General features: G+C 36.1%; 1 protein-coding gene across 1 annotated transcript in view; it reads left to right on the top strand.

The window, feature by feature from the left end:
• PJA2 (praja ring finger ubiquitin ligase 2) overlaps window positions 1-14848 on the top strand; it is a 75253-nt gene that overhangs the window by 34679 nt on the left and 25726 nt on the right. The window contains exons 5-6 of the mRNA NM_014819.5: window positions 6550-6735; window positions 12274-12456. Coding sequence (NP_055634.3) covers window positions 6550-6735; window positions 12274-12456 — 369 coding nt within the window. The remainder of the gene's footprint in view (window positions 1-6549; window positions 6736-12273; window positions 12457-14848) is intronic.

Here is a 14848-nt window from a genome sequence, read left to right as displayed (position 1 = left end):
TCAAGTGATCCACCCGCCTCAGCCTCCCAGAGTGTCAAGATTACAGGCGTGAGCCACTGCACCCGGCCAGCATTTTTAGATATAGGAATTTTGGCTACTTTTTAAAAATATGAATTATATATTCTTTTTAAGTAGAAAAGTATTTTAATGAATTCATGATTGCCTTCTTCCCTGAAAAATTCTAAATGATCATTTAATCACATCTGAAATGTTACACTCTGTGGGATAAACATTGCAGCCAGTAGCATTGCTCTGAGCTGTTTGACAGGTACTGAGCACCACCTTATTAAATTAGGATTCCAAGGGGAATTTTAATAGGCAGCATATAATTACCAGACTTAGAATTAGACCAAAGAGCTAAGGTTAATACCCTGCTCTTTTGAAATATACCCTGAGAAGTTTAGTAACTGTTTGAGGACAAGATCTTGAGTTTAAAAAAAACCTTTCAGCAATACTAGCATATCTTAACCTTGGGCCTAACTGCTCTGAAGAGAGGCATGCCATCTACTGTCTGTTCCTTACTTATAGCATTTGAGGTTTCTTGCAGAATTTTTGTGGCCTTAGGACTTAACTTTGCTTAAAATTTAAAAACCTTACTTAAGGTAAAATGTTGGGACAACTTACTTTGTTGATGATGTTGGGAAATAAAATGATTGTTAGCCATTTAGTTGACTTCAATATGATATATTAAAGGATTTGTTGAAATCTTAAGTGCCAGACTTTGTTCCAGGTGCCCTGTTAATACAAATCATAATGGTCCCTGTTCCCACAAGGTTCACTAGCTTTATGAAGAAGACAAAATATACGTATTTATTATTGTGAGGCTGAATTAAGCGCCTTTCCTGTTCCGTGTAGGTTACCTGAGAGCCACAAAGAAAGAGTTTGTCTGAGAACTTGGTACTACCCCCAACAAATAAAACATCTATATGCAGCCAAGGCACAGATCTTAAAGCATATGTGCTGACATTTTAGCAAACCTTTTTATCTTGTTTTCAAGTTCATAGAAGTTTGGAAGGAGCACATTAGGTATAAATGTGTTTGTTCTGCAGATATGCTAGGGAGTTCATGGGATTACAATAACCTGATACTAAGGAAAAAGACCAGAAAGTGACAAAAAGCAGGCACAATGCAAAAATCATAGCCATCTTAATGAAATTAAGCAGACTTATATATTTGGACATAATCCATTCATATCACTGTATTACATTACAGTTCAGTGTTAATAGTGGTAAAAAGTTCCAGAATGTTTAGATTATGTCAGATAACAAAATATTTAAAATTTCACTTTTTCCTAGGCTCCTGTAGTTGAGTTTCTTGTGGCTGTGATAAATGCCAGGAAGAACAAAGTAACAAGTACCTTGGGGAATTATGGAATGAGAGATTACTTTTGGTTGGTTTTATGTTTCCATAGCTTATTTCTGCCTAGGATTTGTACATAAATTTTGTCTATAATTTCATTCTGTATATCAAGTTTTTTTAGTTCACAATTGAATGTGTAGAGTGTAACATTTGAGTAAATTATAGTTGTCTGCTTTTTAAATACAACTCTTAGGTGCTAAAAGGGATCAGTACCAGTGAAGGATCATATGAAGATCAAAGTAGTACTTAATTTAGTTTTTACTTTGAGAACTTTTAAATGTGTCATTCACCCGCTTTTAAAATCTAGAACAAATGGATCTTCACTGTTCCATGATCATTTTTGTGTCCTATTTGTTCTGTTGCTTACTCCTTAAAAAGTGATTTTTAAATCTTTTCCCTTTTTTCCTTCCATGTACTCCTGTCACTCCTAATGGTTAGCTTCGTTTCTTATTTTCCTGTAGAAGTTAAAAATATGTAAATGTGAATTTTCTTATTTTCCTCTTCTCCATATTAGGGGATAGTAGTATTTATTTGTATTTTTAATTTCCTCTTCAATGAAGAGAGGTAGCCCCTCTCATTCTGTGCCTCTAGTTATTTCTGACACTTCATCTAATTGTCCTTACTCACAGGTTGCTTCCCTCTGTCTCTCAACCTTGAGTTTTTCTCAATCTTGAAGAAAACCTTTACTTTTTCTTGCTCTGTTATTTGCCTGTTTGTGTTTTCTTTTCTACTGCTGAATTTTAAGAAAAAGTTTTCCATACCCACTGTCTCTATTCTGTCACTATCCACTCTTCTTACTGCCTTGAAATCTAATTCCTAATATTATTTCTGTATTCTTTTTTATTGAGACAGTCTCGCTTTGTCACCTAGGCTGGAGTGCAGCGGTGCAATCTCAGCTCACTGCAACCTCCACCTCCTGGGTTCAAGCAATTCTCCTGCCTCAGCCTCCTGAGTAGCTGGGACTACAGGTGTGCACCACCATGCCTGGCTAATTTTTTTTTCTTTCTTTCTTTTTTTTTTTTTTTTTTTTTGAGACGGAGTGTTGCTCTAGTTGCCAAGGCTGGAGTGCAATGGTACCATCTTGGCTCACCACAACCTCCACCTCCCAGGTTCAAGCGATTCTCCTGCCTCAGCCTCCTGAGTAGCTGGGATTACAGGCATGCGCCACCACACCCAGCTAATTTTGTATTTTTAGTAGAGACCAGTTTTCTCCATGTTGCTTAGGCTGGTCTCGAGCTCCCGACCTCAGGTGATTCACCTGCCTCAACCTCCCAAAGTGCTGGGATTACAGGCATGAGCCACTGCACCCGGCCCTATATTCTTTAATGTCAGTGGTGACCTCCTGATTTCCACATCCATTTGTCTTTTCTCAGTACCCATTTTCTTTGATTTCTCTGCACTATTATGAAAAATAATTGCAATGTTAAAGAAGCAGCTGTGTTGTAGTGAGCTGCACTGAGTAAACAAGAAGTCTAGTTCATGAAATAATTGAAAAACAAAAGAAGCGATTTTATACAGGAAGGTCTTGAAAGAAATAGAGTCTGATCTGTGTTTGGAAGTGGGGAAAAGGTGAAGTGATTATAAAGATATTCCTGATGGCAAGAATGCCCACTTTGAGGACACTGTTTGAAATAGAGCATTCTTGAGTTGGATGCAAGAAAGTACTGGGATCAGATAGCAGTAAATTATAAGTGTTATTCAAAGACATTTAACTTTTTATTCTATAGGTCACTATTTCCAAAGTGGGTAAAATATATTAAGTGGTACACAATGTTTTTAATTTAATCATTATGTATTTATGTTAATGGAAATTAAGAAAATATAGGTAGCACATCAAATTCAGGACTTAATGGCTATTGCTTATCCTAACTAAATGTATTTGAGTTTAAAAAAATGTTAAAAAAAGACTCGCTAACAGTTATTGATGGCTCATTATTTATCAGGCATTGTGAAAATGTTTTATATATATTAACTCACTTACCCTTTACATGAACCCAGTGAACTATTAAATACTGTTGTTGTATTCACCTGATATGTGAGGCTAAAAAGGCATAGAGAGGTTTTCATAGCTAATAAGTGGTGGGTTTAACTCCAGGCAAGCTGACCAGGACCTGTATTCTCAACTATCGTACCTTAAGACAGAGGGTTAATGTGCAACTGCAGCAAAAATTGTGAGAGTGATAGGCAAATGGCTTGTTTGTGAAACTAAAGCAGTAGCATTAGAAAAAAGAGCTGTTGAAGGTTTTTTGGAGTAATACTATAAACATACTGTTTGATATGTAAATTGAAGTGATGGTAGTATTCAGAATGCATTTTGAGGGAGTGGAATTAAATTTAGGAACACCAATTAATAATTGACTATATAGGTCTAATTTGGAGAAAAGCATTTGAACTAGGGTTTTACATTTTAGGAGAAACGGAGAAAAAGGAGCTAAGACTACAAGAGCCATTGTGCAGAGAAAGAATGGAAAGTAAGAAAGGATTTGAATGTGGGGAGTTTGTGAAGAGTCAAAAAATAAGTGTTTGCAGAATGAGAGCATGGTGATAGCATTAAAAGATAACAAATCAAGATAGGGATTCATCTGACAGATTAATTTTATAATAGAATTTTTGACAAGGAAGGTGAAAAATCTTAAAATGCTTAGAGGGTAGTTAGTGATTGCGAAAGCTTAGTGTGATGGTTGGGGCTGGCTGGGGATATGCATTTAAAAGTTGTCTCCTTAGCATTGAGGGTTAGGTATCATGAGTAATAATGATATAGGCGTGGGGTCTGCAAACCTTTTCTTAAAGGAGCTGATGGTAAATATTTTAGGCTTTGGTGACTAAGAGGCAAAATTAAAGATAAACATGTAAAAACCATTTTTAGCTCACACACCATTAAAAAACAGGCAGCAGAGTCAGGTTTGAACCCAAGCCTGTAGTAGTTTGCCAATCCATAACATAGGCTTCTTGATTATTGATCATAGACATTCCTCTTGTATTGAAGTTTAGAGATATTCCATGAGTTATTTGATTAATATGGAAAAGTGAGGACTTTTTAATGTTATCTCTTTGGACAGGATCATATTCTGAGTGAAAATTTTTTTTTAAAAACTGAGCTTCTCTTTTATATATGTTAAGAATTGCCACAAATTTATATAGAAATCTTACCCTAATTGTTAAAGACATTAAAATAGGAGTTGGTAATTTAGCTTTGAATTTTAGAAGGTTCTTACTCAAGGAAACTTAGGTCAATAAGCTCCTTTAAAACTACTTTCTGTGTTGGATTTTAATACTTATATAAGTCTAGAAATTGTTTATATTAGATTATTCTTTGGGTCACAGAAAATTGTACAGCATACAAGGAACTTTGGCTTAGACCCAGCTGAAAGAACACCTTTTAGTTGCTGTGCCTAGGGTTTATAGCTTTCCTTCTCCGGGATGTTAATGCCCTGCCATCCATTGCTTACTGGAAATTGGCAGTTGATTTTATATCTTTGCTTCTAGTAAACTTCTCAGAGCTTAGATTAGTGCTACTGTTTGTTAATATCATCTTGATCTTTTGAGTGCATCTGTTAATAAAGGAAATCACTAACTGCGTATTGACATAATAATCATCATTAAAAAATGTAATTTCCTACCAATTATCACTTCCTTTCAAAAATGTAAACTAAAATTGTTATTTTTGATTTTCCAAGTCTAGTGAACGTAGAGAGATCTTTGAGGAGATTCTTAACCAAAATGGTTGATATGGTTGGAGGGGGCATTTAAGACTTATTTTCAACATTGATAAGTAATATTTTAGCCTTTGGTAGCATAAGAGGACTAATTCTTTAAAAACTAAGAGTAGTTAATTGTAACCAAGTTGGCTAAATGTAATCAAAAGTAATTTTCTGTGCTGCTTTTTTTTTTTTTTTTTTTTTTTGAGAGGGAGTTTCACTCCTGTTGCCCAGGCTGGAGTGCGATGGCACAATCTCTGCTCACTGCAACCTCCACCTCCCAAGTTCAAGCTGAACTCCTGCCTCAGCCTCCCAAGTAGCTGGGATTACAGGCGTGCAGCGCCACGCCCAGCTAATTTTGTATTTTTAGTAGAGATGGAGTTTCTCTATGTTGGTCAGGCTGCTCTCGAACTCCCGACCTCAGGTGATCTGCCCACCTCAGCCTCCCAAAGTGCTGGGATTTATAGGTGTGAGCCACCATGCCCGGCCTGAACTGAAATTTATTTTGTATTCACAGTGCTACCTAAGGACAGTAAAGTTTTGCCAGTACTGCTTTTTATGCATTTGAATGTCACTTCTTGAAAAGTTCTTTGGGAAAAAGGAAGGAAAAAGACAGTTAACTTTTTATTACATGGTAATAGTAGAAATTTATTCATAGAAAATATGTCATTAGTTGTCAGTATATAATTTGAAAGTTGTTTTAGTCATGTTAGATATGCAGTAAGTCTACTTACATTTATTCCAGGTAGCATTTAAGATTACCAAATTGTATTTAAAAATTTATTTAGAAATGTGTCTAAAATATGACAAGCCCCTATCTAGGTACCATGGATGTAGTGTAAGAAAAAGTAAAGTGATATATTCCATAACTTGCCATATGCCATATTCTTTTCAAAGAGTCACACTCTACTGCATGCATTTATTTGTTTAATAGTCTGAAGATTGAATTAGCACCTGACAAAGCATATGTGGCATCGACACTCCACTCTATACTATGATGTCTGGTGTATTAGTTCATCCTTGCATTGCTATAAACAAACACCTGAGACTGGGTAATTTATAAAGAAAAGAGGTTTAATTGGTTCATAGTTCAGCAGGCTGTACAGGAAGCATAGTGGCTTCTGCTTCTTGGGGGTGCCTCAGGAAGCTTCCAATCATGGTGGAATGCAGAGCAGGAACAAGGCTTCTCACTTGGCAGGAGCAGGTGTAAGAAAGAATGAGGGGGGAGGTGCCACACACTTTTAAACAACCAGATCTGGTGAAAACTCAGTATCACAAGAACAGTACCAAGGGGATAATGCTAAACTCTTATGAAGGATACACCCCCATGATGCAGTCACCTCCCACCAGGCCCCATCTCCAACATTTTGGATTACAGTTCAACATGAGATTTGGTGGGGACACAGATCCAAACCATATCATCTAGTTAACACCCCAAATGATAAAAATAACTGAACACATTATGATAGTTTATTTCTCTTCTGATTTGCAGTTCTGAATGCAGTGATGGGGAATGGTCTGCTTCTTTGCCTCATCGATTTTCTGGTACAGAAAAAGATCAATCCTCAAGTGATGAAAGCTGGGAGACTCTGCCAGGAAAAGATGAGAATGAACCTGAGCTACAAAGTGATAGCAGTGGCCCTGAAGAAGAAAACCAAGAATTATCTCTTCAGGAAGGGTATGTTCAACAGTGAGATTTATTTTTCTGTATATTGTACAAGAGTGGTATATTTTACATTCAAATGTTGGATATGCCATTAATTGTATTTATAAGCCTTATGTAGAACCAGTAGGCCCCCCTGATTTTTTCATTATGCTTTTGGTATTTTAAAAAGAACAATTAAGTTGAAAATACTGATAATTTCAGTATCGTTTATGGAGATACAATATATGTCTCCACTTGGCTTTAATAAGAAAAGTTGGGCACCTAAAATGTCATTTTGGTTAAGTTAGGAATGGGTGAATTAGCACTGTCATTGCTCAAGGGAGAAAGGACAGCCTCAAGAGGGAAATCAGTGATTCATTCACAGAAATGGAGACAGTTAGTTGCAAAAGCTAGTGTTCATATTCTTGTCTAATTGCATTGGATGAGATCTCCAAAATATCAGTGATTGATGATAAACATTTTTGTTCTTTCCTCATTTTAATGGGAAAGCTCTAGTACTGTAAGGGTTGTCAAACATACCATGAAGGGCTAGATAATAAATATTTATGGCTTTGTGTCCAGTCTTTGTTGCAGCTACTCACCTCTACTGTTGCAGTATAAAAGTAGCCATAGACAAGATGTAAATGAATGGGTATAGCTGTCTTCCAACCTTTTACTATTTTATGGGTTTCTAGCAAGAATGTTTGTTGAATTTTATGAAAGTCTTTTCAGCATCAATGGAAGTGATCATGATGGTTTTTTACTTTTGCCCTGATCATGAAGAATTGTTCTATAATTAGATTTGCTAATATTCAACTTCCCTTGCTCCTTGAAATAAACCAAATCTGATCACAGTCATGGTTTATTGTTATTTTAATGGGCTGCTGGATTCTAATATTTTACATGGGATTTTTATAATGAGATTCCTAGATGCAAATTGTCTTTTAGTTTTTTGTTTCAATATCAGTTTGGTACTTGCTTTGCTAAAAAGATGTGTATTCTTTTTCTTTTTTTGTCCTTGCATCTGTTGCTTAAATAGCTTATTTATTCCTTTAAAGTTTGTTAGTATTCCCTTGTGAAACCATCTAGGCCTCTTGTTTTATTGTAGAATATCTTTTTGATAATTTAATTTTTTTCTATGATAATTGGTTCTAATTCTTAGTCTCATGGGAACTATTTTGGTAAATTATGTTTTTTTTTAGGAAAAGAACTTTTTCAGTGTAGACTAATATTAAAACTTGTACTTCTCAAAGCATATACATTTTCAGCTTGAGATTAATCCTATAAGAAAATCTAGGAATAAAATATATAGAAAAATCTATAAAGAAAGAAATTCACAAACATAATTGGTTTCAACAGTGGTAGGTTGAGGTGGCATTTTTTTCCTCTTCATGAGAGAGATATATATATCATAAATATACATCATAGATATATATATATATATATATATTTTTTTTTTTGAGACGGAGTCTTGCTCTCTGTTGCCCAGGCTGGAGTGCAGTGGTACGATCTCGGCTCACTGAAACCTCCATCTCCCAGGTTCAAGTGATTCTCCTGCCTCAGCCTCCTGAGTAGCGGGGAGTACAGGTACCCACCACCATGCCTGGCTAATTTTTGTATATTTAGTAGAGATGGGGTTTCACCATGTTAGCCAGGTTGGTCTTGAACTCCTGACCTCTGGTGATCTGCCTGCCTTGGCCTCCCAAAGTGCTGGGATTACAGGCATGAGCCAGCACGCCTGGCCTCATGATTTTATATTTGATTGCCTTTAATCACTGTTAGTTTAGTTTACTAAGTATAAATTATTCATATGTCATTTGTGTTAGCAGTTATTCACTCAGCAAATATTTATTGAGCATTTACTTTGTGCCAGGCATTGTGTTGGATATTGGCGTTATATCAGTAAACAAAGACAAATAACATTCCTTCATGAAGCTTACATTGTAGTAGGAAAGGCAGATGATAACCAAGATACAAACCCAGTACATTACACATGTGATGATTACTGTGAAGGGAATAAAACAGTGATGTGAAAGAAGGTAAATGATGAAGATATTAAAGTGGTCAGGGATGACGTCTCTTTAGAATTGACTTTTGAGCTGAGTTCTTAAAGATGAGAATTAGGGTTCAGAAAGAACTTTCTAAGCAAAAGAAAAAGCAAGAGCAGAGATATTGAATGTTGGTAATTTAAGAAGCCCAGTTTTTCAAAAATTAGTCTTTTACATTACTGTAGTGCCAAATTATGGTTTTGCTCACACATTTTTCATCCTTAGACTTGCTCTTAGAGCTAGCAGCCTTGTTTTGATGAATCTATGATTACATATTTATTTTCTCTAACCTGGATTTTATTTTCTAACAGTGATTCAGACTATTTAGTAAGGTAGTTTTTGTATTACCATGATGTGTGTAGATCACAAGTCTCTTTCCAATTAATATATTTTGCATTCAGAATGATGTATTTCATTCAGAATGATGTAGTACACCAAATGTCAATTGCATAATTATGACAACCTAATTAAATCTAGCCCAAAAAAAGTTCTAATATCTGGGATGGAACAGAAAGAAGAATAAAAAATGGGAATAAATTAGTACATTTTCAAAAGCTTGAGTTGTCTAGATAGACACCAATAGAGCTTTGACCAAAGGGAGAAAATAACCTGTACTTTGGTTGAAATTGAGAAAACCTTCAAGGTTTTAAAATTTGTTAAGCATCTGCTAAACATCTGTTAGTTTTAGCTATCTTTAGGCTAAATATACAAACAACTGTGTGACTCCTTAATAATTGGTCACATGACTCATGAAACTAAAAAAATTCTTTTCACTATTGTACTTTGCATAATTAAAGGGATGGTTTCTGAAATACCAGTAAGAGTGAATACAGATTTAATGACACAAGTTTGAGTGCTTTGGAAATATTTAATGAATTGCTAACAGTTTATTGCTTGGGTAGCTATTTCTGGTTGAACTTCTCTTGATAAACAGATGAAATTACAGTTGTTTTAAAAAAAAAAGGATTCATACAACAATAAAAAGTGAGTTTAGACAGTATGGAAAGACCAATTAAAAACCATTATAACCAGCTTCCTTTTTGAACTTCTAAAGATCTTCCGTACACATAAAAGCATATATGTGTACACGTTCCATTTCATTTTTTATGCAACCGGTAGCACATTGTGTAGACATATGTGTACACCTTGGTTTCGTTATTTGTTTTGTTTATAGATCTGTTTTTTAGATTGTTCCATATTCATATAGATTTCCTTTATTCATTTTAAGTCTGCATAGTTCTACCTTGTTTTGCTTAAAGTCACATATTCTAAGAAGCTCGTATAAAGTTAAGTCAGAACTTACTGTATACTACTACATGAGTATACCAGTTTCATTTGGTGGACAGTTTTGGCTATTGTGAGTAATGCTGAAGAAAAAATAAAAAACACATTGTACATGTTTAGGAGAAATAACTGGAAGCCGAACCACTAGGTCAGTGAGTGTGCATAAACCTAATCTATAGCTTTTGCCGGGTTTCTCTACAAAGAACTTAAATTAGTCACTTTCTTACCAACACTATATGAATTGCCTTTCTTCAAAGCTTTCTTCAGAGCTTCACCAACACACAGGGTATTATCAGAATTTTTTATTTTTGCTAATAGTTGAAACATATTTCAGTTGTTTTAATTTGCATTTTGCTTATTATAAATGAGGCAGAGCATCTCTTTATATATTTAAGGGCTATTTGAATTTCCTTTTCTGCTAATTATTATATCCTTTGCCTCCTTTCTGTTGATATATATTGATGTTTTTCTTACAGTTTTTTTTTTACATTTTAAGCTTCTATTGATTAAGGAAAAGCCCTTTGTCTCTCTTGTATTGTAGTTCACGTTTCTCAGTTTGAGTTTTGTGTCCAAATTTTGTGACTTCAGGGTTTTATATCATGCTTAGAATGACACTGAAATTTTTTTTTTTTTTTTTTTGAGACAGAGTCTCGCTCTGTCGCCCAGGCTGGAGTGCAGTGGCGGGATCTCGGCTCACTGCAAGCTCCGCCTCCCGGGTTCACGCCATTCTCCTGCCTCAGCCTCCCAAGTAGCTGGGACTACAGGCGCCCGCCACTACGCCCGGCTAATTTTTTGTATTTTTAGTAGAGACGGGGTTTCACCGTTTTAGCCGGGATGGTCTCGATCTCCTGACCTCGTGATCCGCCCGCCTCGGCCTCCCAAAGTGCTGGGATTACAGGCGTGAGCCACCGCGCCCGGCCGACACTGAAATTTTTATAAAATTTCCTCATGACTATTCTCGTACTCATTGTTTAAGTGAGGTGGGGGGTGCATATACACATGTACTTCAAAAAAGTATAGCTAAAGTTTATTTAAGGGATTTAACCTCCCTCCCTGCGGGCGAATACCCAGTTGTCCCAGTACATTTTGTTGATGAGTCCTTTTTTGTTTTTGTTTTTTGAGACACAGTCTCGCTTTGTTGCCCAGGCTGGAGTGCAGTGGTGTGATCTCAGCTCACTGCAACCTCTGCCTCCTGAGTTCAAGCGATTCTCATGCCTCAGCTTCCTGAGTAGATGGAATTAGGCATGCACCCAGCTAATTTTTTGTAGTTTTAGTAGAGACAGCGTTTCACTATGTTGTCCAGGCTGGTCTCAAACTCCTGGCCTCAAGTGATCTGCCTGACTCGGACTCCCAAAGTGCTGGGATTATAGGGGTGAGCCACTGCACCTAGCCTAATGAGTCCTTTTTTTTCTTCCTGTTTTGAAATGCTTCCTTTATCTCCTCCTTATTTTCTTGATCTGTACCATTGATTTGTGTGTCTCTGTTCCTGTTTAGTTAGTTTCTAGTAGGAGTAGACTGACAGTAAACAAATAAGAAAATGTTAAACAAAAATAAATTTTATAGTTTAAATAAGCAGAGTTATGTGGTAGTCAGTAACTGGAGAGCTATTTAAACTGAATGTTCAAGACAGGCCTCCCTGAGATGGTGACTTATGAATCTGACATGAACATCAAGAAGAAAGTAGCAAAGTAAAAATTCAGTGCAAGAACATTTTAGGTAGAGGAAGTGGCCCCAAGGTAGAAATGATCTCCATGTGTTTCAAAAGTAGGAAGAACAGTAGGAGCATAGTAGCTGGGGAAGAGTGATGAGAGATGCTGTTGGAGAAGTGGGCTGAGCAGAAAGCATGTGTTATGTAGGGATTTGAAGGCCAGGTTGAGGAATTCAGATTTAAACTGTGAAGGGAAAGTACTCAAGAGCATTGTTTCAAAATTCAAGTAGTCAGGGTTGGATTTTTCTTACGTTTCTCCTACAGAAGGAGAAAACAGCATAGATAATTTGTAAATCAAATAAATATGTTCCTATGTAATTAGGAACTATTTCTGTATACATATGACCCTATAACTGATTTCTTTCCTTTTTTTACATAATTCTGCAGTTAAGGAAGACAGTTTTTTAGAATTATAAAAGTACCAAGAGCTTAGAACTCAACAGAATCCACTTGCATGGAATAGAATTAAAGACAGTGTTATGGTATGTTTTAAAATAATATTTTTTTCTTCCTTTAAAATGTTTGTACTAGGGAACAGACATCCTTGGAAGAGGGAGAAATTCCTTGGTTACAGTACAATGAAGTCAATGAAAGCAGCAGTGATGAGGGAAATGAACCTGCCAATGAATTTGCACAGCCAGCTTTCATGTTGGATGGTAACAATAACCTGGAGGATGACTCCAGTGTGAGTGAAGACTTAGATGTGGATTGGAGGTATGTAGCACGATTTTATTAGGATGCTTAATTAGGCTCTGAGTTCATGATTCTAATTTATGAAAATTAAATCTCTGCTAGCTGAGAAATATTATAATTTTCCCATCTGTTAGTCCTCCTCTTCTTCAAAGCTCATTTCAAATGTTCCTTCCTACTTGGACCCTTTCCTACTTCCTCCAGTCAGTGACCTCTTCCTTTGACCTTTAGCTCTCTTGAAGCTCACCTTACATCCTAGTTACTTACATACTTTTTTTTAGTTTTGGATTTCTGACGTTTAAAATTTTGCTTTATATGCCCTCTATCACTTAGCATAATTCTTTCAAAAATAGCTTCTTAATGAATACCACTTCAATTTTAAAACCTATGGTTGAATCAGAAAACAATAAGAATAGTTCTCCTTCCCTATTCTTCCTTTTCCTTCTCTATGTAAAATATGGAAGATAAAATTTTACTTTCCAGGAGATGTTGAAAGCATTTAATTTACTTTATGCTTGACAAAGAATAGTCAGCTTCAAATGAAAGTAACATGTAAGTGAAGTGTGTTGTGGAATTGTTACTTCTTACGATACAATGCTCAGAATTTAACTGTTTTGGTTTATAGTATCTTTAAAGTGTATAGTAGCCCACTGAAAGCAGGTAACTATTGAGATATAGAAAGGATGTCCTCCTAACTGATCCCTTTTTTTACTTTTTCTGGGGCAAAAAAGATATCTTGGTGTATTTACACTTGTTTCTTTCTCTGTACAAATATATTTTTAAGAATTTGTGTTGTTTTTCCAGTTAAAATTCCTTTACAGAAAATTCAGAAAAATAAATAAGAAAAAACTCATTTATATCTCCTGATATCTCTTCAGGTTTCCAGAACATATGTTTTAAGTCCTCTTTTGTGTCTTTAATTTCTCTTTCTGTGTGTGCTAGCTACTTCTCTGTACTTCTCCAGACTGTTCCAGATGGGAAACTGAACATCTTCTTGAGATCTTCCTTGCCTTTTCCTATTCTTACTCCCCAAGGGGGAAAAAAATGTGTGGAGAACAGACTTTTATCACCATTTTGGGGAAGTAGAAATGGGATTTCATTACAGCCATGCAATTTGTATTTCTACCTTAAACATTCTCATACTCTAAAACACATTTTCTGGTTTCCCATGCATTATGGAGAATAAGTGGCTTTACCTAGTCCCAGTCTTGCTGATCTTGATACGTCTCTCTTTTCCTCCGTTTCTGTGTCTCCCCATTACCTTTTTACTGCACTCCTTATTAATTCAGAAGTCTTCTGTCTCCATTATGCAAAGTAATTCCTCAAAGTGTTCAGCAGTTGAAAGAATCATCTGTTTAGCATCATCTATGCATGTTGGGAGGCAATTACGGTTACATATGAAGGAATGTTTTCTGTTACACATTTTCAAGACTCTAAAAATAATTTTTTACAGCTCCATTGTGAAGATGCTCCTTCCTATAGGGGCACTAAGATTTAACAGATTATTGACTCATTGAAATAGTGCAGTGAACTTTTTCTTCCCCATCCTCCATAAAACTTGTTCTATACTTCTGGTTTTTCCTTTAGGACAAATAATTGGAGGGGACATTACTGAGATATGTAGTATTTTTCAAGGTATGGATACCTATTTCCAAATACTTCCAAAAGGGTTGTTTTACCTAAATATTTGAAGGAATAATGGAAGTCTTTACTGAATATAATTTGTTTGTTTGTTTGAGATGGAGTCTCGTTCTGTTGCCCAGGCTGGAGTGCAGTGGTGTGATCTCGGCTCACTGCAACTTCTGCCTCCCGGGTTCAAGTGATTTTCCTGCCCCAGCCTCCCAAGTAGCTGGGATTACAGGCGCCTGCCACCACACCTGGCTAATTTGTGTATTTTCAGTACAGACAGGGTTTCACCATGTTGCCCGGGCTGGTCTCGAATTCCTGACCTCAAGTGATCCACCCTCCTCGGCCTCCCAAAGTGCTGGGATTACAGGTGTGAGCCACCATGCCCAGCCTCTGAATATAATTTGAACTTAAATTTGAGAAACTGTTACTTTAGGTTCTAATTCACTGATGATCTTTCTAGATATGGCTGTTGTGTTAAGGTTTTAGAAACCTTACTAGTGGTCCCGAAATGTCCAGAGCTTCAAATAGTTTTTTTTAAATTATAGAAAACATTTTAGCATTAATTTTAAGACACAAATTTTGAAGGTTGCTCTATGTCAACACCTCATTATTTGCTTATGTGGTACTATATTAATTTATGTGGCAGCGTCTAAAGGTTGATAAGGTGAAAATGTGGTTTCATTTCCATATTAAAATAGCATGCTATGGGGAAAGCTATGGCAAAGAGCAGCAGTTCTTGTCTCTAAAGTCAAACTTTGGCACATTTTTTTTTGTTTTGCCACTGCTT

This window comes from Homo sapiens, chromosome 5, assembly GCF_000001405.40.
Source record: "Homo sapiens chromosome 5, GRCh38.p14 Primary Assembly".
In the NCBI taxonomy this organism is placed as follows: domain Eukaryota; kingdom Metazoa; phylum Chordata; class Mammalia; order Primates; family Hominidae; genus Homo; species Homo sapiens.
The sequence above is the reverse complement of the archived record's forward strand: the minus strand, read 5'-3'. Positions and strand labels throughout refer to the sequence as shown.